Source organism: Homo sapiens, chromosome 16 (genome assembly GCF_000001405.40).
Source record: "Homo sapiens chromosome 16, GRCh38.p14 Primary Assembly".
Classification (NCBI taxonomy): domain Eukaryota; kingdom Metazoa; phylum Chordata; class Mammalia; order Primates; family Hominidae; genus Homo; species Homo sapiens.
The window spans coordinates 17,355,662-17,379,396 of record NC_000016.10 but is presented as its reverse complement, the minus strand read 5'-3'; the positions used below and the strand labels follow the sequence as shown (position 1 = coordinate 17,379,396).

The window sequence follows — 23,735 nt, the reverse complement described above, 5'->3', positions numbered from 1 at the left end:
CTTAGTCGGCCTCCCTGATTTAAAGCCGCCTGTCAGATGTTGGAGATTAAGTTAGAAATCAGCCATTTGCGCTGAGTTTTGGAGAAGCTGCTGCCAAATGGGAACTCCTGAGTCTTTTCTTCTATATATAGTCTTTAGGGTGAGCTAACTGAAGTTAGCAGGGTTTATTTTAGGAGGTGTCTCCTTGGAGCGGAGTGTGGTGGGTTGGGCTGCCTGCCCGGGGAGCATTTGAAAGATTGCTTAGGCTGACATCCTGCAGGAAGATCTGCTGGCCTCTGACAATTCTGGAAGAAATATGCACTTTTTTCCTGCCTTTTCCTTTGTTTCTGGCAGCAAAGCAAAGGAGTGGTTGAAGGGCTATGTGCCCATTTAGCAGACAAAGCTGTTGAATCTCAGTAACTTTGCAAAGTGGTTGTGATAAAGCGGAGGTAAGACAGGTCCTCTCATTCCTTGTTTTGTATCCCTTGTGGTAAAAGTTAAATTCCTTGAAATATTCTGTCTATGAAGAAATACTAAGAAAGTAGGGGATGGAGTGGGTTTTAATCTGAGCTTAGGAGAATACAGTATAAAGAGCTTGGACTTGAGAGTCATTCCTAGGTTCTAACCCCAGCTCAGCCTCTTACTGGTTCTGCAGCACTGGGCCAGTTACTTTTCTGCCTCAGTCTCAGTTTTCCTGGCTGTGAACTGGTCGTAATTTGCCTTACAGTGTTGTCGTGACGGTGAAAACATGAGTTACAAAGAGTTAAGGCCAGTGAAGTACCTGGCACCTAATACGTGCTTCATAAATGGCAGTTATTGCTTTATTTGAAGAAAAGGAAACTTTTAGCAACATATTCCTAGAAATTACCTCAATTAGAAGGAGACATCTTGCTAGAATACTAACTAGGATTTTAGGTTAAATTATGCAGTCATATATTAAAAGATCCACCTTTTGGGAAATATCCATTGACTGGTGACCTGGCAGAAGGAAACCTCAGGCTCATTTCTCTGCAAGGTCCTGGCCTCTTTGAGTAAGCCCAATAGACATAATCAAGATGACAGTGTATATTATTTAAAAGGTGATTATATTAAAGCATTTTTTGGTGAAAAAAAAAAGTCTTGGAACAAATAAATACCTATTTGGTATGGGAACTGCAGTCTCTTCCTCTTTCTCACACACACCCATGCATATTGTCCCTTCAACATTCGTGCCATTTGTTGTGTTTAATTATAGGGGAAGTGAAATCCTCTCCAAAGTTGCCTGCTAGTTAATTGCTGACGTTTCATTCTCGAACATTTATTGAGAATAAGCTCTGCCCCATGCCTAGTGGAGGAAACCCCCGTGACATTTGAGTACTGTAGACAGGTTTGACCTATTCCAATTCAACAAGAGAGAAAGAAGCAAGGGAGAAAAAGAGCAATGCAGATCATCTGGGTATCTTCTTTGTCCTCCAAAGCCTCAGTTCTTCCCTTTGTACAATGAGCACAGCTGGATTTAATGGGCTCCAGGTTCTTTGCTGCTCTTTGAGGCTGAAACTCAGGGGAGGTAAAGAAATTCTTTTGCTTGTTCTGAACCCCAGTGGGCTGATCCAGAGCTGCTTGTACACCCTCCCCTTTCTAGATGAGATGGTTCCAGCGTGAATGGGGATGCTCCAGTGCTTGAAACTCACAGGCATCACGTGGTTAAGCTAGAAATAGAAAATAAGTCATGTCTGGGTTTCGAGGACTCCCTGACTATTCTGGTTATGTTTGGAACAGAGCGTTTATGAGAGGCTGAACTGAATGGATGGGATCATAGCTTCCATTCCATGGAAGGCAGGGTCGTCCAGCTTTCCTGATGGGAATGTGTTTGTTGGGCAGGGGTGGGGTTGGGGTGATAAGCTTCTTGGGGAGTGAGCTAAATAAGCCATTCTCAAAGCCCTTCCCCTGAGAATAGAGCAGGCTGGCTGTCCCGCCAAACAAAGAGCCTGGATGTCTTGAACCACTGCAGTGATGGGAAGATTCTGCCATCCAGACAATGGGAACTCTATCGCCATGTCTAGCTGAGGACAGGGGGTTAGTGTCTGGCCTCATGAGGTCCCAACAGGTCTGTTTGATGGGCAGGTTAACAACATAGGCACTAGAACCAGGTCCTTCTTCCTGGCTGGGGGATCTTGGGTGAGTTATTAGTTAATCTGAGCCTTGACTATTCCATCTATAAAAACAAGACCCAGAATAGTACCTAATTTTGTGTGTGTGTGTGAGGCAGAGTCTCACTCTGTCACCTAGGCTGGAGTGCAGTGGTGCGATCTTGGCTCACTGCACCCTCCACCTTCCGGGTTCAAGCAATTCTCCTGCCTCAGCCTCCTGAGGAGCTGAGATTACAGGCATGTGCCACCATGCCCGGCTAATTTTTGTATTTTTAGAAGAAATGGTGTTTCACCATATTGGCCAGGCTGGTCTCGAACTTCTGACCTAAAGTGAGCTGCCTGCTTTGGCCTCCCACAGTGCTGGGATTACAGGTGTGAGCCACCACACCTGGCCTGGTTGGGTGCATTTCTTGTTCATTCGTCATTTGGTCCCTATTTTTTTTTTTTTTTTTTTTTTTTTTGAGACAGAGTTTTGCTCTTGTTGCTCAGGCTGGAATGCAATGGCACAATCTCGGCTCACTGCAACCTCCGCCTCCCGGATTCAAGCGATTCTCCTGCCTCAGCTTTCTAAGTAGCTGGGATTACAGGTGCAAGCCATGATGCCCAGCTAATATTTGTGTTTTTAGTGGAGACGGGGTTTCACCATCTTGGTCAGGCCGGTCTTGAACTCCTGACCTCAAGTGATCCTCCTGCCTTGGCCTCTCAAAGTGTTGGGATTATAGGCGTGAGCCACTGTGCCCAGCCAGGTCCCTGTTCTTTAACAGAAAAGACAAGTCACCAAATCTGTTTTAGGCCCTTCAGATGCAGCTGTGAGCAAAAGAGACATCACCCATCCTCTTGAGCACTGGCTTCTAGTTTGAGTGGCTGGTACCCTGAGGAAGGGTCTGGAAGGACACAACCTGCAAGCTTGGCTGGCTGTGGTTGGCCTACCTCTGTCCTCTTAGGTTGGGGTTTCTCAGCCCCATACTATAGATGTTTGGGGCTGGATAAAGGATCAGCTGACCTGTGCATTGTAGGATATGGAGCGCCATCCCTGTCTCTACCCTCTAGGTGCCAGTACACGCTCCCTTTCAAGTTATGACAAATAAGCGTGTCTCTAGACAGTGTCAAATGTTCCCTGGGGGACAAAACCACCCCCCTGGTTGAGAACCACTGCCACCAGGTCGTGAAAGCACAGTGGGATGGGCCCCTCTAAGCCCTAGGGCAACGCTGGCTGTGATCCACAGTCCCACTTCCTTCTCTGTAAAGTGGTTGGATACACAGGTCAGGGTTTATTAACAGTACAGGCTCTGACGCAAGCAAACACACTCAGTGATTAATGCTAATGGTAATGGTGGTGCAGTGATGACCGTCCCTTTTCAACACTGCCACCTCCCCCTGCACATACATCGTAGGGACACCAGTGGCTCCAGCCGTTCAAGTCTGGGTCTTTGCCTGTGGTGCCCCCAGGGCATGGTAGTGAAAGGCCGGGCTCCGGAAGCCACCTTTATCTGAAGCGTGGAAATGTGGTTCCAGGCTGCCTGTCCCAACAGCAGACCCATCCACCTGGCCGGTGGGGATTGATCTGATGGGCACGAGGGCCCAGGAGCATGTTCCCGGCCTCTCTGGATCATGGACTGCTCTTGAGCACCGAACTTGACCAGCCTTATCAAATCTGACTGTATTTCCCTTTCTGTAATTCACCAGAGAGCCTTGTAAATCAGCAGCCACTAGCAATTCCTGCTTTGTGGTGGCTGTAAGACTCAGAGCAACTTGTTTTTCCAGACCTCTCGTCTAATCTTTTCTGTGTGTGTGTGTGTGTGTGTGTTTTAAATGTTATCTTGAACAAGAAACAGCTAAAATTTTATTTTTTTTTTTGCATTGCGACAGGGTTTTTGCCCAGGGGTCTGTTGGATGGGCCGGTTAACAATATAGGCACTAAAGCCAGGTCCCTCTTGGCTGGGGGATTTTGGGTGAGTTATTAGCTAATCTTAGCTTTGAATTTTCCATCTATAAAACAAGACCCAGAATAGTATGTACTTCATAGAGATGTTGCGAGGATTAATTAATGCTTATAATGCTTCTAAATGGGCTTAAAGCACTACCTAGTCCATAATAAGTGCCTAAGAAATGTTATTATAGGATTTGAAGTTGCACGGACTGGAACTTGAATCTTGGTCTCTGCCCCTTACCTGCTGTGTGACATTAACAAGTGTCTCCACCTCTCTGAGCCTGTGTCTGCCTTATATTAATAGCTGTGGTTGTTGCAGGTTGAGCCACCAGTGTGTCCTAGTTGGTCTGGGATATGCCTGATTTTTAGTGCTGAACGTCCCATATCCTCAGTCCCAGGCAAGCTGGGATGCTTGGTCACACTGGTTATGGGGTTGAAATAAACCATAGCACCTAGCACATTGTAGGTGTGAGTAAATGGAAACATGCCAGAAGTAGTCTGTCCCATTTGGTTATGTGTGGGAGGTGGTGGGGGGATGTTTTAGCTGCTCATTTGTTTCAGCCTACAAATACTCATGCCATTTTCCTCAGCCATAGAACTCTTGCAAATTGATGTTTTCTAACCTAGATTGATTTTTTTTGTCCTTCTATTTTAGACAGAAAAAAGATTTTTTTTGACTTTCATGTTACAAGATATCACCTCTTGTTTTTTTTTTTCTGTCTGTAATAACAATACTGAGGGTTGAATAATTAGTACGGCATGGTAGTAGCAACATAATGTCTTAGACCGTGTGGGTTATATCATGATCCCTAAAAATGGGGAATAGGAATTATTTGAGACTTATTTTGAAAATCTTCAGTGTGCTGATTCACTGAGTTGGTTTTCAGAAGTACCTTTGGATCTGATTATGTAAAAGCCAAATATTATAATCTAGGGAGTAGGAGTGAAGGCTGATCCTGATGAAGATTCCAATCAATCTACACAGGAACTTTGGCAGTGACTCCCTGTTGCTCTTTGGATAAGACTCAAGCTCCTTCCTAGCACCCAAAGGGACTCCCTGACCTGGTGGCCCCTACACCAAATCCTACCACTTTATCATATGCTACTCACCTTCTCAATGTTGATTCTAGATTCAGACTTCCTTTCTTTGTGTCCTCAAAATTATGAGTGCCTTCCCACCACAGAGCCTTTATTCATGCTTCTCCTTCTGCCTAAAATGCTTGTCCTCTCCTCTACCTTGGACAAGTTGATTCTCACTCATTCTTTGGCAGCCAGTTTAATTCTCCCTTTCTGAAAGAACCTTTCTGATCTTCTCTCCTGGATGAAGTTCCTGTGTTTTCTGTCCCTACCTTCTCCCCTTTGGCAGCATTTATCACAAATCTAACTAAATCACCAATTTTGCAATCAGTTGTTTGATATAAGATGATGGAATCAATACTCCCTGTAGCTATCTTGTTAAAGATACCTTATGTGTCCATTGAAAAGGAGACAGTTGTTGAATTTTATAGGTATTACGAGAGGCTGGAGAATAGTGTTCACGAGCAGTGTTCTCAAGCTGGATCTCCTGAATTTGATCAAATTCTAGCTCCAACACTGTGCAGCTGTGTGACTTTGGGCACATGGCATAACCTCTCTGAGCCCAGGTCCCTCATCTGTAAATAGAGGCTAATAGGAGTCCATTCCTTAAGGGCAGTTGTCAGAATTAAGTGAGTAAAATATGTCAGTGCCTGGCACATGCTGTATGTTGGTGTTGATGGTAACAACCATTATTATGAGTTCTACAGCTAGTAAAAATAATAGTATTCATCATCTTGAGAAATTCCGCCAGCTGGCTTAAAAGTGTGTGGCTGGAGAGAATGAAACACGTGTACTACACGGTAACTTTGTTTTATTCACAAGTTTTGTGGCTGTAGAATTGTCTGAAGCCTCAGTTTCCTCATCTATAAAATGGGGCCAGCATTATCTTCCCCACAGAGTTGGTGTGAGCATTCAAAAAGCAGCCTCTCAAGCCTAGGTTGAGGCACATAGTAGGTGCCTGATGAACGTCAGTGGCCCGAGCACTGTAGACGCTGATTACTGGTTTCTCAGACGCCACAACTTGGGATGCCAGAGCTTTTGCTTGGGATCTGAGAAGCTGGACTGTGAATATGGATTCCAACAACAGCCCTTCAGAGAGCATTCTGCTTCTCTGTGATTTAAAACGAAACAAAACAAAAAATAATATTGGATGATCCAAGGTGCTGGTTTTATATGGCAGCTAATGAGATAGCAGGGCAAGTAACTGGAGAATGTATTGCTAACAGGCACAATAAATATAGCTATGATTATATATTAGCAGCCCTCAAATGGCCCATAATGCAGTGAGTACATGTGAGGTCAAGAACGTGTTAGAAAACAGATGTTTGTTGTTAGTCCTTATAGACCACACTTTTTAAAAGAAATACGTATTTGATGATTTATTATGATCAGACATTGTTGTAAGTGCTTTACAGATATTCGGTGAATCCTAATAACAGGCCTGGGAAGTAGGTATATGTCATTATTATTATTCCTACTTCGCATATGAGGAAACTGAGGCACCAAGATCTCAAGTAATTTGCTCAAGTTCAAACGGAAAATAATTGAGCCGGCATTTGTACACAGAGACTCTGATACAAGTTTCCATGTTCTTAGCCACTATTCTATGCTGAAGTCACACGGAAGAAGATAATGAATGGAAACGGATAATTGAATGCAAAATACCCACTTTCTCTTAAAAATGGGCCAGACCAGCTGTCCTTGGTCCTGAATTCGACAGGCCTTACCATTAATGGAACTTGTTCTTGAACATTAGCATTGGGAGAGTTGTAGTCCTCACACTGATGGAAGCTATCTAATGTATTCTGTCTGCCATTGACACTGTGCCCCTCTAACACCCTTTCCCCTAAACTGATTTTCTTTTACCATGTTGGAATGTGAGTAGTTTACTGTACCTGCTGAAAGCAAGGTCTTAATTAGCCTTAATTTTTGAAGTCTGCAGCTGTAAAATGTGTTGAAAAGATTGAAAAGATTAGTGCACTAGTAATAAGATAATTGTCCCTGAGAAATGCTGTTAGCATGTAAACACAGTTAGCATGTGAAATCAGAACAACTGTAATATTTCCCTCGTTTGGTGTTTAAAGATGCTCCTGCGTGAATAATTATAACTAAATGCAAAGTGCAGAGATGGGATGCTGCATGTTTTTCCTGTTATTCTTTCCTGCTTCTATCCCAGCTCAGAAGTAAAACTCTTAGTGGAATCTTGTCTGAAGCTAGCCTCCCCTCCCCCACAGCCATTTGAAATTAGTACCAAGAATGGGGCAACTTAGAACAGAGGGAATTCCAAAATTAGGGATACTCAGCAAACAAAATCTACAGATCCCATAGCAACTTTTTTTGGGGGGGTGTTGAATGAAAGAGACCACACATGCATACCTGTATGTGCATGTGGATGCTCACATATGTGTGTGTACACACATGCATATTCACACACATACACTCTCTCTTTCTTTCTCTCTGTCTCTTAATAAACAGAGCTGGAGAAAACTAGCCATGGCTATACACAGCAGAAGCAGATGTGATAAACCTCATTTTACCTTTTTAGACCTAGAAAGGTTGCAGTAAAATATGCTGCACCTGCCACCACATGAGGTCCTTCCTTCCTTCTGTGGAGTTTTTGCATCCTTTGATAAGTTGGAACATACTTCAATTTTATGAAATTAGTACGTATAGTACCTTCCTAACAGACCATAGCTCATCAGATATGCTACATATCCTATAAAGACTAACCTTTCTGCTTCCTCATCTCAGACATTAGCCAATCAGTAGGTTGAGCTTGTCTCCTTCTGCTGTGTCATTTATACCCCAAACTCTTCTTTATAGGGAGGACTTGCCTTGACTTACAGTCAGGAAAACATCCTACAGCTCAGAAGTTGGCTGAGTTCTCAGCATACATCTCTCAGATTCCACCTATAACATGAATTGGGTTTCCGTTGATTTTGGTTCAGCAAGAATTTACCAAGTGCTTTCTATGTGGCAGTCTTAGGACTTCATTAAGCATAAAAACAAAGAAGATAGTCCCTGGTCCTGGGGAAGTGGGACAAGTTGTCAAAAGTATGTAGCAGGGGCTGATGAGAAGACAGGACTCTCACCCCTATCCATGGGAGTCAACTTTGCTCTCTGCCTTGTATTCCTGGGTGTGCATTCATAGGTGCTTCTTGAGTTAAATTATTCTTGGACTTTGCAGCCACGTTACTTTACAACCTGTCTATGGTTCATATCCCGTCCTTCTCTCTAACCTCAGGTCCTCCAGCTGAAAGTGCTGGGCTTAGCTTAGGATCCACTAAACCAGAGATTACAAACACCAATGCCCACAGCAGCCACACTGGCAGCCGTAAGTGAAGGACATGTGTCTGGGGCGGGGACTGTGGCAAGCAGGAGGGCCTGTGACCCTTCTAAGGGAGATAGCTGCTTTCCAGTGCCAGAAAGGCAGTGCCTTAGGAAAATGCTGGATTTGTGTAGCTAGGTCTTCTGATTTTTCCAAAAAATGCCAGAACTTTGCAGTTTTATGGGAAACCTCCTGAATGTGAAGTATTGGCATCCTATGTAGGTTTTTGTTGTTCTTTTTAAAACATTGTGCAGGCTGAACAAACTATGCCTGAGCTGAATACTGCTTGTAGATTCCAGTTTCTGTTGGCCACCTCTGCAGTCAGCCCATGAAGATCGTGTTCTCAAAGTGCTGGCTAAACAGAGGCCACTGCTGAGTCACTAGGGTTGCTTCCCACCACTTCATGAACGTGTTCAGTGTGAGACCACACACTTTACCTTGCATCTTGTTTCTCCAGCTCTTTCTCATCCTGCCCTCCCCGCAGATGTCTCAATGAAGTCCCTGGGAAAGTAACACTTACTCTCCTGAATACAGCCTACAGTTCCACCAAGCGTGGCATGCATGTGAGCGAGGGTCCCCCAACCCCGCCCCACTGCAGAAGGCGTAGAAATGAAAGCGGATCGTTGTAAGCTTTGGATCCGCCAAATGGGACTTAGCACAGCGTCGTCTCCTGCGTGTTGATTATCAACTTGCTTGGGGGATCTCAGGCTCTTGCCTGACCTTGGCATGAGGTCTGGCAAATTTGGCTTTCTGGGTGTAGAATTGATCGTTTCAGAAACAAAGCCATTGAGACAGAGTTAAGGAGAGTCCTCTATTCACGGATGAAAGGAGCTCATTGTATAAAATTGGTGTGACCTGGACCCCCTTCCTCTGGCCCCCTCCTGTTGTTCCCTTCCCCCACAGCTGGGGCTTTGTAAGGGTCTCGCAGGATGTTCTATCCCAGGCCATACTTTCTTCCCATCTTCCTGTCTCTGAGGCTGCCCCGAACAGAAGGAGAGCTGGGCTTGGAGCCCCTTTGCACGTTTTTGGCTCCTCGGGCCAACTCTGTTGTCGTGGGTGATGAGAGCACTTCCTTCCGAGAGAGCTAGGAGAAAAACAGCCAGGCTGTTCACAGGCAGCTGCCCAAGGCGGCTGTGCAGGAAGAGAAAACAGTGGGTGCTAAGAACCTCTTCCTGTTCTGCCTTCTGCACGGGCACCTCCCTTCTGGGTCACGGCCCTGAAAAGTCAAGACTGTTGAGCTAGAGGAAGATGGTCCTGTGTGTATTAACCTCAGTGCTCAACTTCCTGATGGATTATTTGAGTTTTTCTGTTTCTGCTGTGAAGTCACGGGATCCCGAATTTTTCTTCTTGAGGTTGGCGGGTGAGGGTTGGAGTCATGTTCATGGGGTAACATGGTACCTTCCTTTGTGGGGGAGGGGTAAGGTATGGTGGTGAACAGATAGGAAGGTCATAAACTTAGATGCTTTCAGGGCTCAGCCCAGGTGGGCAGGGTGGGGTTGTGGCAAACAGAAGGGGATGTGCCTGCCTTAAGTGGACCTGCCTACCCAGTGGGTCAGATCTTTCCACATTTCACGAAAAGCCACAAATCAGAATATCATGATTTCACCCTAAATTTTAAATGCTGGCACCTAATTTTAAAAAAAGTATTGTTCAAAAATTAGCCAGGCTTAGTAGCATGTGCCTGTAATCCCAGCTCCTCAGGAGTCTGAGGCAGGAGAATCGCTTGAACCCGGGAGGTGGAGGTTGCAGTGAGCCGAGATCACGCCACTGCACTCTAGCTTGCGTGACAAGCAAAACTCCATCTAAAAAAAAAAAAAAAAAAAGAAGTATTTTTGTGCACCATGCAGATCACACCATACCACATCCAAGCATTTTGGTTACCTTTTTTTCTTTTTTTTTTTAAACCTCTCTGAAGATATTAAGGTTAAATGGGCCTGGCTCTGTGGCTTTCAACCAAGTCTTTGAAACTCTCTGAGCCTCAGTTTCCTCCTATATAAATTAGGAACAGTACTACAGGGTATTCATAATCCAGGAACAAGGAAATACTTAATGTCATCAAGAGAAAAAGCAAACTGGGCACACTGACTCTTGCCTGCAATTCCAGCAATTCGGGAGGCCAAGGCAGTAGGATCACTTGAGACCAGGAGTTCAAGACCAGCCTGGGCAACATAGGAAGACCCCATCTCTACAAAAAATGAAATATTAGCCAGGCGTGGTGGCACAGGCCTGTAGTCCCAGCTACTTGGGAGGGTGAGGTGGAAGGATTGCTTGAGCCCAGAAGTTCAAGGCTGTGGTGAGCCATGATTACATCACTGCACTCCAATCTGGGCAGCAGAGCAAGACCCTGTCGTTTTTTTTTTTTAAAGTAAAAACCAAAAAAAAAAAAAAAATCTATCTATCCAGTCTTTATGGCCTTCTGGGAACAGCCACTTCATGAGGATAGAATGTGGGTTTATTGAAGTAATGCTCATAAATGGTGAATTATGGTATCTCATAAGGACTTAACCAATGATAGCGGTCTACTGGGCGCTGTCATCAAGGCTGTCATCTTCATTGTCACTATCGTTTCATTAAGAAATATTAGAGGAGGTTGAGGGGACAGGCTGCAGGCAGAGTCCCTCCCCTGCTGAAGCTTTCTGACTCCATCCTGACTCTAAATGTAGAAGGCCCATCCGTCCCCTGCAGGGCCACCTTCCAGCCAGGTGTTCTCATCGTCTCTCTTCTGTCCTAGGAAGGCAGCTCTACATCCCGAGCTGTAGCCTGGGACTGCAAAGCTCTCCACTCCCCACCTCCTGGGATCGTTTTTTCCGCCCCCCGTGGTTTGTGTCGGCAGTTCTGTGTGTGGCCTCTTGGAGTCATTCCAGACGCGAAGCACTGCTGAATCACAGTTTTCCTGTATCTTCGACAATAGATGTCCTGGTCAGAGGCTCTTGTGAAGGAGCAAAAGAGGAGGAAGTGAAGAAAAGCAGGGAGGGATGTGCATAGAAATTTATTTTGGCAAAATGGGATGAACTCCAGATTTGGTATCAAAAAACTGACATTCTACACTGAATTTTAATCCAAACTGTGTGTGGCCCTTAGGAAATAGGCCTTTCCTCCTGGATCTCCCATGCCTCACCAAACAGTGATGGGTTTGATTCAGGTCAGGGACGGACATCTAGGGAAACTGGAATCTATTAATAATATCTGCTCCTCGGGCCGTATTGAGAATTTGAGGCCAGGTGGACTGCTTAGTAACAGCTGCCTCGGGCAACTTATTGTGAATTCGCTGCATAACTGGTCTGCACCTCTAAGTGCTTTTCTTGAACTCACGATTTTGGATTCTGGAGCTCAAATATGAACTATTTTCCTGTGGAACAGAGATCTCACCCAGCAGTCCCAGAAGTCACATAGTATCATTGGAACTCCAGACAATGTCTGTGGGACACTTGGCAGTATTGGTTCCAGTTGGGCCACCTGCCATCTTGGTGACCACAGCAAGTGGGTGCAAAATTGATAGGTGCTGCGGCCTGTGCCTGGGAAAAGCTAATTATCGGGATGAATTATAGATGTGGCGTGTGTTCCCAGCTCCAGGAGGATGTGTGTTCAAACACAGCCTGGGTGGCCACCTTTAGAAAGATTTGCGGCATGGTGGGATTTAGCCAGCACTTCCTGTCTGGGCCATGTCGGGTAACGGCTGCCTTCTTGGCACGTGGCAGGTCTTGTTTATGGTCTGAGATGCCTCTGAGCTGTGAAAAGCAAAACACTGTAAAGTGTCGCCAATTGTCTTCTAAGAGGAACTAACATTGGTGGCCCACCCACTCTGTCAGGACTGAGCCGGGCTCTGGTAGAACATCTCAGTCAGTGCTCCACAATGAGTGTGAGAGGATCATGGTGATGATTATTACCATTAACCACTGGAAAAAGCAAAGTAGTCGACCTGAAGACTCGCAGCAAGGAAATGAGAACATCTAGTATGAGGAGCATCTGATCCAATTCAGTGCTCCTTATGGCTTCTTAGTGCCAGATGCTGATAGAACCAGGAACTGTGGTTTAATGATTCCAGTTCAAGATGTGGTTGTACCACTGGGAAGCAGGGTAGCTTAGTGGTCCAAAAGGATGCCCTGTTTCAAATCCTGGCTTCACCACCCACTAATGAATGAGTTTGAAAAAATTACTTCTCCTTTGAGCCTCAATTACACCATCTGTAAAATGGGGCTTTTGGTGCCTGCCTCCTGGAGTTCTTGTAAGGTTGGTTTGTTTGTTTGTTTGTTTGTTTTAAGACACGGTCCCAGTCTGTCACCCAGGCTGGAGTGCAGTGGCACTATCTTGGCTCACTGCAGCCTCTGCCGCCAGGGTTCAAGCTGTTCTCGTGCCTCAGCCTCCTGGGTAGCTGGGACTACAGGTATGCACCAACACGCCCAGCTAAGTTTTATATTTTTAGTAGAGATGGGGTTTCACCATATTGGTCAGGCCAGTCTCGACCTCCTGACCGCAAGTGATCCGTCAGCCTTGGCCTCCACGGATTACAGGCTTGAGCCACAACACCCAGACAGTTGTAAGAATTAAATAAGATAATATTTACAAACCCCTTACAGTAATACCTGGCATTCAGTGTGAGAACAATGTTAGCTGGTATTTTGATTATTGTCAATATTGACTAGCTATGTGACCTTAGGCAATTTGCATTAATATGGGGGTGATAAATTCTGTTGCTTGCAGTAGCCAGGCCAGCTACTCAGTCTGGAGCTGTTTTCTTGCAAGAATACACATCCAGTGTTGCTAAATCTTCTGTTCTTAAAGGAGACGTGAGAAATCTAGATTTGCATGTGAAGTATCCTGGTTTTAAAACATTGGCAATGAATGATTTCAAGTATTTCATCAAGGCTGCAGGCCAAAAAAAAAAAAAAAAAGCAAACCAGCTTGAAGCATCCACAGGCCACCAGTTGGGCATTCTTGTCTTAACACTCTGTAGCTCAAGCCTCTAATCTTTTCAGGTAGGTTTCTTCAAAACCTTGTAATTCTAAGATGGTAATTCTGTGTACTTTTTAAAGAATTACAAAACCTCTTGAGGCACACACAGAACAAAGTATTAAATACAGGAGTTTAGATTTTTGATAACCATTTGTGCTCAAGGATACACATACCAAGCTGGAGAAGCATTAAGATAATTCCCAAGTTTCCATGAGTCTGTGGTTTCTCTATCTTCCAAGGCTGTGGGTGATGAATTGCCATCTCCAAGGGCCTAAGCTTCATTTTAAGGTTCTACTGCTCATTTCTGGGTCCTGGGCTAAAAAAATGTAGAATGAAAGTAGGATAGCAGAAAGACCAGCTTTTTAAGCTTTTAATACAAAAGAGAGAAAGAGAGCGCGCAATACACCCAGTTTTAACTGCCAACGTTTCTGTAAAACATTGAGAATCCCCTTGTTCTCTCTGTGGGGTTTCTGTTTTCTCCCCTGAGCCCTATTTGAAGGTGAGTTCACATTTTCCAACAAGGTGAGGGCTGTGTGATTCTGGCCTGCATTCACATTCCAAATGCAGTCTTTTTTAGAGAACAAGGACACCTCTGTATCACTGGCATCCCTCCCTCATCACCCCATGCCGCCTGCCCTGCACGTGCCCAGCCTTCGTCTTAGGAGCCAGTGTGAAATCCCATGGGGACATCTGAAGAGAAAGCCCCGTTATGCAACACCTTGGTTGCTGCAATGAGACCCTAAGAAGGAGGAGTTGAAAAAGAGTCCCACTTCCCTGAGGAGGAAATGCTGGAAAGTGGAGGGTGGTAGCCAGGTTTTTTAGGGCAAGGCAAATCTCTTCACCAAAGTGGGGAGAAGGGAACACTTTGCACCCGTCCTGGAAATTTCTTGGGGGTGCAGAGCGTGAACACCAACGCTCTTAAGAGTTTCACGCATGCATCCGACACTTGATGGCTGGCTGGGGATCAGAGGCAGGAATCGTATTCTTTGTCAGTTTGGAAGCTTTTTCAGTCTTGCATTACACATGGTAGAGTTTAGGTATCATGTAAAGTCTCTCCGGTTCAGCGTACGTAAGAATCCCCCAAGGGTGTTTCATAACAATGTAGATTCCTTGGACCCTTGCCCAGAGATTCTGATTCAGTAAGTTCATACTTTTGATTAACACCAGGATATCGGTTAAAGGACTAGTTTCTGGCAACTTACAAACTTGCTTACTGCTCCTGGCTCCATTCCTGATTAGCCCTGTGTTTTTGAGCAAATTATTCTCTGAGAGTATCAGTTATCTGATCTATAAAATGGGGATCATGATACCTCCCTTGGCAGCGTTGCAGGAATTTCGTATGCTTGGCATAAAGTAAGCATTCAAAACGAATTAGCTAAATTTGCTCAGTTCACTGCCGTCACGTGACATAGGTTGCACTCGTATCTACGGTAACTTGCAGTTCAGAAGACTTGTGGTTTAGTAGGGTTGAGTATAGAGGGATATGTCTCAGCCTTTGTAAGCCTGGAGGAAGAAATCAAAGAGAAGATCATTTCTGAGGTTGTAACTATGTACAGTATTTATTTTTATTTAATGTTCACGACAACTCATGATGTCAGTGGTATGCTGTGTTCAAGACAAAGAGGAGCCTATCTTAGGGTTTCCTGGGACAGTCTGGGTTTATACCTGTTAAGCTTGTATAATTATTAATAGTGTCCCTTACAAAAAGGTCCCAGAAAATCTGTTTTCCACTTTGTTACAGTAGCTCTGTTGGCAAGTATAATCCTACCTGTTTACGTGGGGGTCAGTGAGAAAAATAAAGCTCACAGAAGCTAAGGACTTTGCCCAAGGTCGCAAGTGGTGCTAGGTGGTTGTTATGGACTGAATTGTACCCCCACCCTAATTTCATATGTTGAAACCCTTCCTCCCCCAATACCTCAAAATGTGACTATTTGGAGATAAGGCCTTTACTGAGGTGATTGCATTAAATTAATGGGGCCCTCATCCAATCTGACTGGTTTGTTTATAAGAAAAGGAAATTTGAGCCAGGCCTGGTGGCTCATGCCTTTAATCCCAGCACTTTGGGAGGGTGAGGCAGGCAGATCACCTGAGGTCAGGAGTTCGAGACCAGCCTGGCCAACACGGCAAAAGCCCATCTCTACTAAAAATACAAAAATTAGCCTGGCATGATGGTGCACAGCTGTAATCCCGGCACTTTGGGAGGCTGAAGCAGGTGGATCACTTGAGGTCAGGAGTTCAAGACCAGCCTGGCTAACATGGTGAAACCCCATCTCTACTAAAAATATTCTAAAAAATTAGCTGGGCGTGGTGGCAACCACTTGTAATCCCAGCTACTCGGGAGGCTGAGGCAGGGGAATCGCTTGAACCCAGGAGGCGGAGGTTGCAGTGAGCTTGGATTGTGCCACTGCACTGCAGTCTGGGCCACAGAATGAGACTCCATTTCTGGCACCCCAAAAAGAAGAGGAAATTTTGACACATAGATACCCGGGATGCATAGAGAAAAGGCTGTGTGAGGAAACAGTGAGAAGGCCACCATCTCTACAGGCTAGGAGGAGAATCAGACCTCAGAAGCCAGACCTGCAGACACCTTGACCTTGGACTTTCAACCTCCAGAACTGTGAAAGGATAAATCTCTGTTGTTTAAGCCACCTCACCTGTGTATTATTATAGCAGCCCTAGCAAATGAATACAGTGGTTATGTATGGTTTGAACTCTGGGGCGACCCCTAAACCTGCCCTCTTTTCCCACTGAATAATTCATCTTTGTCCTGCACTACTAGGCCTGCAGCTAAGTGACAGTGTCCCTTTAGGTTTCTGGCTGGTCATTCAGACTTGGCTAGAGCTGGACATTCTCCAGCAGGCTCGAGTCATGAGTGAGTTTTCATTCGCTGTGATCTGCAATCCCAAGAAGAGTTTCTTAGATTTTCCAAGTTATCTGGTGGTTGGATGATGAGTGACAGTGAGACACCATCTTTTGATGGTGGAAGATTCCCAGTTCTGGCCTTAATTAGAGGGCTCTTGGCGGAGAGAAGGCACCAAGCCAGCCTTCTGAAGTGTTCCCTGGGAGCGTCTGTGGAAGAAGGTAGCATGTAAATGTCCATTGTCTATGTTGTTGATTTGGTGGGCTTCACGGAGATACCTGGCTCTGAAGGCGTGAGTTCCAGTGTCATTATCTCTACACCAATGTCATTGCCTAACACCAAAGAACAAGCACTGTCTTCTGAATGTCCTCAAAGCAAAGGAAGAGAACATGCTTTCCAATGGCTGAGGCTTAGCTCAGGGCTCAGAATCCGCCAGGAGAGCCAGATAGGTTTGATGTATGTGTGGAATGATAACGAACAAAGTCCTCCTCCTCTCTCTACTTTCTTTGTTGGGGCTTAATTGCTTGTTAAAATTAAGCCTTTGGCCTTGAGCCTGGCTTCTTGGTCTTACAAGCAAGACTTTTGAGGTGTAGACAAGTTTCATTGCTCTAAGACCTGTAATCAGGCTCCTGCCTCTTATTTAAACAGTTACCTTTGGGAATAGCAGTGTACACAGAGTCACTTTAAACTCATTTCTGTCTCCCTCATGGTGCCTGCCACGCATAGAGCTAGCTACTGAATCGGAACTTAGTAAACACGTGTGGATTGATTTAGCTAACTTTACATGGTTCCTTGCTGTGGCAAAGTGACTGTTTTGTTTCTAGTCATGATATGTGTGCTAATTTCTATCAACCATGTCCGCTACCTTTTTAAAAAAGACAGATGGTAAAAAAAAAAAGATTACGGTATTTGTTAAGGTGGTACTGCTTATTTGCTGTAAGTATTCTTGATTTTGATAGACATTATCCAAAAATTGTAGGATTATTTTGTCTAAAGTAATAATATATTTTCCAGCAGAGCTCTTGTGAAAGAGTGGAACCCAGTGTTCTCCAGTGTAAGATGCTGGGATCAGATCCAGGCTTTCAACAGCATCTGTGTGACTCGGACAGGTTACCAGTCTCTCTGGTCATCAGTTTCTCCATCTCTATACTAATGATAGTGATAATGATAGTATCTACCTCTTAGGGTTATTACAGGGGTAAACGAAATGATACACGCATAGAAGTTAAGCCCAGTGCCTGGAACATAGTGAGAACTTAACAAATGTCATTTATTGCTAGTATTCAACTGTTCAGAACCTCAGTCAAGTAATATGCCCATAGGACAAAGTTAAGAATAAACCAAAGGAATGAAAACTGTATGTATTTTCAGGCAAAAGGATTCTGAGTAATCATTTCCTGTCATGTTGTGTTGGTATCTAAATAATAAATTCAGAAGGACTGGTATATTGGGCACACAGGATTGAAGGCTAATTCAGAGGCATGCAAGATCCTGATGGTCACTTATTTCCTTGCTTGATGTAATAATAGAGCTAGCACACAGGGCCTGGCACCTAGGAGGCCCTCTATAAATGATCGCTGTTAGCTGTAGTAATTTCAGGTTCCTGGGATGCATTTGCAGACTTAGAGAAAGAGCATGTATTATTTAGGTTCTGAGTCTGTGAGTGTTTGTGACAACACTTTTTGATCTATCGAGGTCAGTGTTTAGAAAGTATATCAGTTACTGCCACAATAATGCTGTATAACAAATGACTTCAAAACTCAGTGGCTTGAAACAACAAGCATATATTTTCTCTGTGTTGGCAGGGGGTCGGCTGATCTAGGCGGGGCGTGGCTGCACGCTGTAGATTGTGTACAGGTTTGTTTCACGTGTCTGGCATCCTCCTTGGACCAGCAAGGTACTGGGGACATGATCTCTTGTGGCAATGGCAAAAACACAGTAGGCCACACTTGATCACCTAAGCATATTTCAAGCTTCTGCTTATGCCACATCTACTAACCTCCCATTGGGCAAAGCAGTCAAATGGGCAAACCCAAGCTTAAGGGCTGCAGAAGCACACAGTAAAGAACTGTCGAGTCACATGACCAGAGGGCATGGATCTAGGAGCTGTGACGAATGAGGGCCACCAATTCAGTGCACCTGGTTCCCCATTTGACTTCCCCAACTGAGCCATTGCAATAGATGATAGGAAAGGGCTTTCCTTGTTGTAGGCGGTTCCATGGTTACTGGTACCGGCATTAAGATTCTAAAAGCACTCCACTGTAGCGTGCACGCACATTGCAAATTCCCCTTTGGTCTCCAGGAGGCTTTCCTCTGATGGACAGGAATTTACTCTACTGTAAACCAAAGAGTCCCAATTTAGACAGATAGGATGGATTAGGCAGACAGCATCATTGACCTGGTTCCACTTCGTTAGCCTTTCCAATTAAGGAGGATGTTGCTGAAAGCGAGACCTCACAGATATATAGTCATACCTTGAATCCTCTGGACTGAGGCTCTTTAGGGAGAGTCTTCCATTTCCAGTGTGTGCAGAGGGAGGAGAGCATAATGATGCTGGCAAGTGAAACCCAAGTATTAATGATGTGGCCCCTTGTGAGGACTTTATCTTCTTCCCAGTTAGTTAATGAAGATGCTAAATAGATAGCATTTGTGCTTTTGCTTTCCAGAATCTTCTTAATCTTGGATCCCTGACCATGCACTGATAAGGTCTCTGATTTTGGAACATCAAATAGAGAGCTGATGCTTCACTGTGTCTAGAGATCAGGCTTTTGATTTTGTCAACACAGTTGACAGAGATTTCCTGTGACTTCCCAAGGAAAGTCTTGTCCATTGGAGCTGCTTTTAGGGGTCAGGATGGCATTCTCCCCTCTTCAACCTCTTGGAGATTCTAAGCAATGAAGCATTAAGTCTCAGACAATAGCCAAATGGTCTGTGAAGTACAGCTTAATTAATCTGGGCATGCACCCAACACCCCAGTCTGGTGCTTTGCTAGCACTTGGCTTGGAGATTGAGGCTAATTTTGAGGCTGAGATGCAGCTTCTTATCTTATAATCAAAATCGAGGTGGTAAGATCTGAATGGACAGACAGACAGACACAGACTACTCTGACCTGAACAGCAGATGTTGCATGCTCTCGCCCACTAAGCTCGTACCAGGTCTGACTCATGCTGCCACCCACAGACCAGGAGGATGGTCTTGCTTCCCAAAGACAAAAATGGGTCCTGCCCCAACACAGGGAAACAGGAAGTACAGAGTAGACTCTTTCTGCATGCGAGTGATACAAAACCTGCCTGATCAAAAGAAAGTTGCTCTATGAATGTCGGGTTTTACCAATCCTAGCTGCCACTTCTTCACCCCTGGGAAGGAATCAGTAAGGATTTGAAGAGACAGGCCCAAAACAGCTCCTTCATGACTTCCCCAGATTCCTTTATAGGTCAAGGCTGCAATGTGGGGAGACGGGGAGAACATATTCCCCTCCATGTTTTCTTGGGTATGAGGAAGACTCAATGCCTGGGGGAATGTGAGAATTAGAGTGGGATGTTCTCTTGGCAGTTTCCTTTCAGTTACACCAATGGAGAATTACTGGGAGTTGGACTCAGAATTGGAGTTGGGGGACGACGAATTCCTCTTCCTAAAGGACAGAGCTGAGCAGAGCTCACCGTATTTCTGAGATCGTGCCTCTTACACTCCTCAGAATTGGGCATCATTACAAAGATACCGTAGAACAGTCATCAAGACAGTGAATGGCAGCTCACCTAGAGAAGGGGTTTAGAAAGTTCCAATTTCCCTGCATTTCCTTCTTGCTCACAGTATGGGACAATGGGCTGGTGCTAATTTGCATGGCTTCCTAAAACCCCGTGGTGGAAAATCTGCTAAGACAAAGCAAAGCTTCAAACTGGATGTGTACTTCAGGGCCCTAAAATCATGCCCATTCTCTATCAGAGGAAGCTTGAGGTTGTTTTTCCCAGAATTATAAATCCAAGATGATTAAGTTCAGAGCAGACGTGGTATAGACAGAAATAGCCTTCATGTGCTGGGTTTCCTGTTTTCTTTGGAAACCACTCACTGGACACCACCAACTCCTCCCATCAGTCTTTTCCTCCTCCTGTACCCTCCCTGTCTCTCCTCCAACCCAAAGGGTTCATGCTTAATGACCCGAGACAGTACCACCAAGCATTCCCAGTCAATCGGCTTTTGTACAGAGTGAATGAATAGGACATTTCTCTGGCCTTCTCTATCCTAAAAAAAGACCTTCCCCAGACCATGGAATGTGCTCCTCAAACCAGAAATTAAGCTGCTCGCTCTCATTCCTTCCCTTGTTCTTTCCAAGATCAGACACAAATTGATGATGGCCTTGTTCCTAGTCAGGACTTTATATTCTTTCTGGTTTATTCCTAATCCTCTTACGGAGCCAAACTCTCCTTATAGAGGGTTTGGATACACGTTGAGCTCTTTGGCAAGGGTGCCTTGTTTCTTTTTTCTTTACATTTTGTTGTTTTGTGTGATCTCCATGTGGGCATTTCCTTCATAAAAACTTGAGCCTCTTTCATCACTTGTGCGTGAGAGGAAGTGTTGGGGCGGCCTGCAGACTGGGCCAAGCTGTCCTGATGTCTCTGTAGAATGGAGGACACAGGTTGGGCTGCCCTCCCCGTGGGGTGGCTTGACCACTGGGGAAATCAAGCTTTGTTTGAAAATGATGCTGGGAGCTTGGCGTGGTGGCTCATGCTTATAATCCCAGCACGTTGGGTGGCCGAAGTGGGAGGATCATTGAGGCCAAAGTGTTGGAGAACAGCCTGGGAAACATAGCGAGACCCCATCTCTACAAAAATAATTTTTTAAAAAAGCCTGGCATGATAGTGCATGCCTGTAGTCATAGCTACTTGGGAGGCTGAGGTGGGAGGATCACTTGAGCCCTGGAGGTCGAGGCTGCAGTGAGTGAGCTATGATCATGCCACTGCTCTCCAGCCTGGGCAACAAAGCGAGACCCTGTCTCTTAAAAAAAAAAAAAAAGGAAAGAAAGAAAAAGATGCTGGGGTAGTAAGTTAACTTTTTTTCACTCCTCACGTGCATTTTCTCCTTTCATCCTACAGGATCCACACCCAAGTCCGCTCATCACCCTGGAGACTCAGGTAAGTATCTTTCCTGTCTTGGCCACTTATCTCAGCCTTAGTATTCCAGCTCTCAAGGGGACTTGTCCCGTGGCTCTGAAAGGCTGGACAGGCCCATGGCTGCCCCTGGTCCCATTTGGATGTGTGTGTGCCTGCACATGTATGTATACACACTGGCATATAGTGTACACGTGTGTGCAATGGTGTGGGTGTGCATGGGTGCACATTCGCACCCAGGTGTCTGGTGCCCCTCCCACCTGTGGCGAGAACCATAATCATTTCTTTTGAGTTTTCGTCTGTCCTTCGCTCCTGCCCAACCATCATGCGGAGGTTCATGCAAAGGAGAGAGGAGACAGAGGAGAGCCATGAAGTGGGAAGATGCTACTCTTTGATGCCTGAACTTGGAGGACTTTTATTCCTTGGCAGTGAGGGCAGCATATGGAAGGAAGTTGCACCCTTTCATCTGCTTGCGTGTTAGGCCATTCTGAGGAATTGTGATTGCAGTGGCATTTCCGTGTGGGGAGGAGGATGACCAGCGGGTCTTGTAAGGGAGGGCACGGCCCTGACTGTCTGCTTTCTGCCTTCCTGGGAGCTAGGACAGTGCAGCAGCTATGAGTATAGGCCTTGGAGTTCAACAGAGCCAGGTGGAATTCCACCTCTGTGTCTTCTAGCCCTGCAGTGTTCATGGGGCCACATAATGTCTAAGCCAGTGTCTTCGCATCTGAAACGTCATCCCAGTGATAGTGCCCACCTTGCAGAGTTGTGGTTGAGGGTCACAGGAAATGATGTTTATAAAGTCCGGGGTACGTGCTAAGTGCTTGTGAGTGGTAGCGTTTTTTTTTTTTTTTTTTTTTTTTTTTGAGACCGAGTCTCTGTTGCCCAGGCTGGAGTGCAGTGGCATGATCTCGGCTTACTGCAAGCTCTGCCTCCCGGGTTCACGCCATTCTTCTGTCTCAGCCTCCCCAGCAGCTGGGACTACAGGCGCACGCTGCCACGCCCGGCTAATTTTTTAATATTTTTTCTAGAGACGAGGTTTCACCGTGTTAGCCAGGATGGTCTTGATCTCCTGACCTTGTGATCCGCTCACCTTGGCCTCCCAAAGTGCTGGGATTACAGGCATGAGCCACTGCGTCCGGCAAGTGGCAGCTTTTTAAACCAATAGAACTGTTACTTTTCCTGCTGGATCTGAAGGGGACGTTTCTTATCTTTGGATTAATCATTTCCTTAGCTCTTTGGGTTTGGCTGACAGTAAAGAGAGTAGGCAGACAGGACAGGCCTCGTTCAGAGCCCCACAGTGAATAGCTTGCAAGTGTCAGACACAGTCAAACCTGTTCGAACGTTTCAAGGCTGAATGACAGCTCAGCGATTTCAAGGGTTTCTGGGGTGGACTGGAAAAGACCACCTGCTCCCCTGGCCTTTGCCTCCTCCACCTTGGGTCCTTGCCCTCTCCTTGGCATCTCTGCTTGGGTTCTCCTAAGAGGAATGAGGAGACCTTCCTTGCTTCCTCCCTGATGGGGAAGGCCAGCAGATCTTCACAGTTTCCTTGTGCTTTTCTGTCCTTGCATTCTCTGGCACACAGGTATAGCCACGGGGGCCCCAGGGCTGACCAGGCGCCAGGGCCGGCAGGGAAGTATAGAAGGTGCAGCTCTGAGGAGGAAAAGGATTCGGTTTCCTCTGCCTGTTTGGCTGTCCTCTGGCTTGGTTTTGTCTGTCCTTATCACCTTGACCACCTTTGCCTTATGTAAATTTCATCTATTCTATAAAGTCACCTAAAAATACATTTTTCCTTAACATAACTCACTTTGCTTTCAGAAATAGACTTACCTTAATCTAATGGTTCTAAACCGGGGGGTGGTTTTGATTCCCAGTGGTTATTTGGCAACGTCTGAAGACATTTGGTGGTGGTCTCATCTGGTTGGGGGGTTTACAACTGGCATCTAGTAGGTGGAGACCCAGGTTGCTGTTAAATATCCTACAACACACAGGCCAGCTCCCCACTGGAAAGAATTATCTGGTCCTGGGCCTGGCACGGTGGCTAACGCCTGTATCCCAGCACTTTGGGGGGCTGAGGTAGGCAGATCACTTGAGGCTAGGAGTTCGAGACCAGCCTGGCCAACATGGTGAAACCCCATCTCTACTGAAAAAAAATACAAAACATAGCCAGGCATGGTAGTATGTGCCTGTAATCCCAGCTACTTGGGAGGCTGAGGCAGGAGAATCACATGGACCCAGGAGGTAGAGGCTGCAGTGAGCCAAGATTGAGCCACTGCACTCCAGCCTGGGTGACAGAGTGAGACTCGGTCTCAAAAAAGAATGATCCAGCCCTAAATACTAATGGTGTTGAGATTGAGAAACACTGTCTCAAGCAATA

At 45.5% G+C, this 23,735-nt stretch overlaps 1 protein-coding gene across 3 annotated transcripts in view, besides 3 other annotated features; it reads left to right on the top strand.

The window, feature by feature from the left end:
- The window catches only part of XYLT1 (xylosyltransferase 1), a 369,192-nt gene that overhangs the window by 91,564 nt on the left and 253,893 nt on the right, over positions 1–23,735 (top strand). For 2 of the 3 annotated variants that reach the window (NM_022166.4, XM_017023539.3), the window contains exon 2: positions 21,347–21,385. The exons of the other annotated variant lie outside the window; for it this stretch is intronic. In NM_022166.4, coding sequence (NP_071449.1) covers positions 21,347–21,385 — 39 coding nt within the window. The remainder of the gene's footprint in view (positions 1–21,346; positions 21,386–23,735) is intronic. 3 annotated transcript variants of the gene reach the window in all.
- Positions 3,302–3,371: a silencer, noted in NCBI's record as "silent region_7236". NCBI's record gives its function as "represses an Ori minimal core promoter by ATAC-STARR-seq in GM12878 lymphoblastoid cells {active_cell/tissue: GM12878}" and the evidence as "EXISTENCE:reporter gene assay evidence [ECO:0000049][PMID:35858748]".
- Positions 9,722–9,811: an enhancer, noted in NCBI's record as "active region_10508". NCBI's record gives its function as "activates an Ori minimal core promoter by ATAC-STARR-seq in GM12878 lymphoblastoid cells {active_cell/tissue: GM12878}" and the evidence as "EXISTENCE:reporter gene assay evidence [ECO:0000049][PMID:35858748]".
- Positions 19,295–19,384: an enhancer, noted in NCBI's record as "active region_10507". NCBI's record gives its function as "activates an Ori minimal core promoter by ATAC-STARR-seq in GM12878 lymphoblastoid cells {active_cell/tissue: GM12878}" and the evidence as "EXISTENCE:reporter gene assay evidence [ECO:0000049][PMID:35858748]".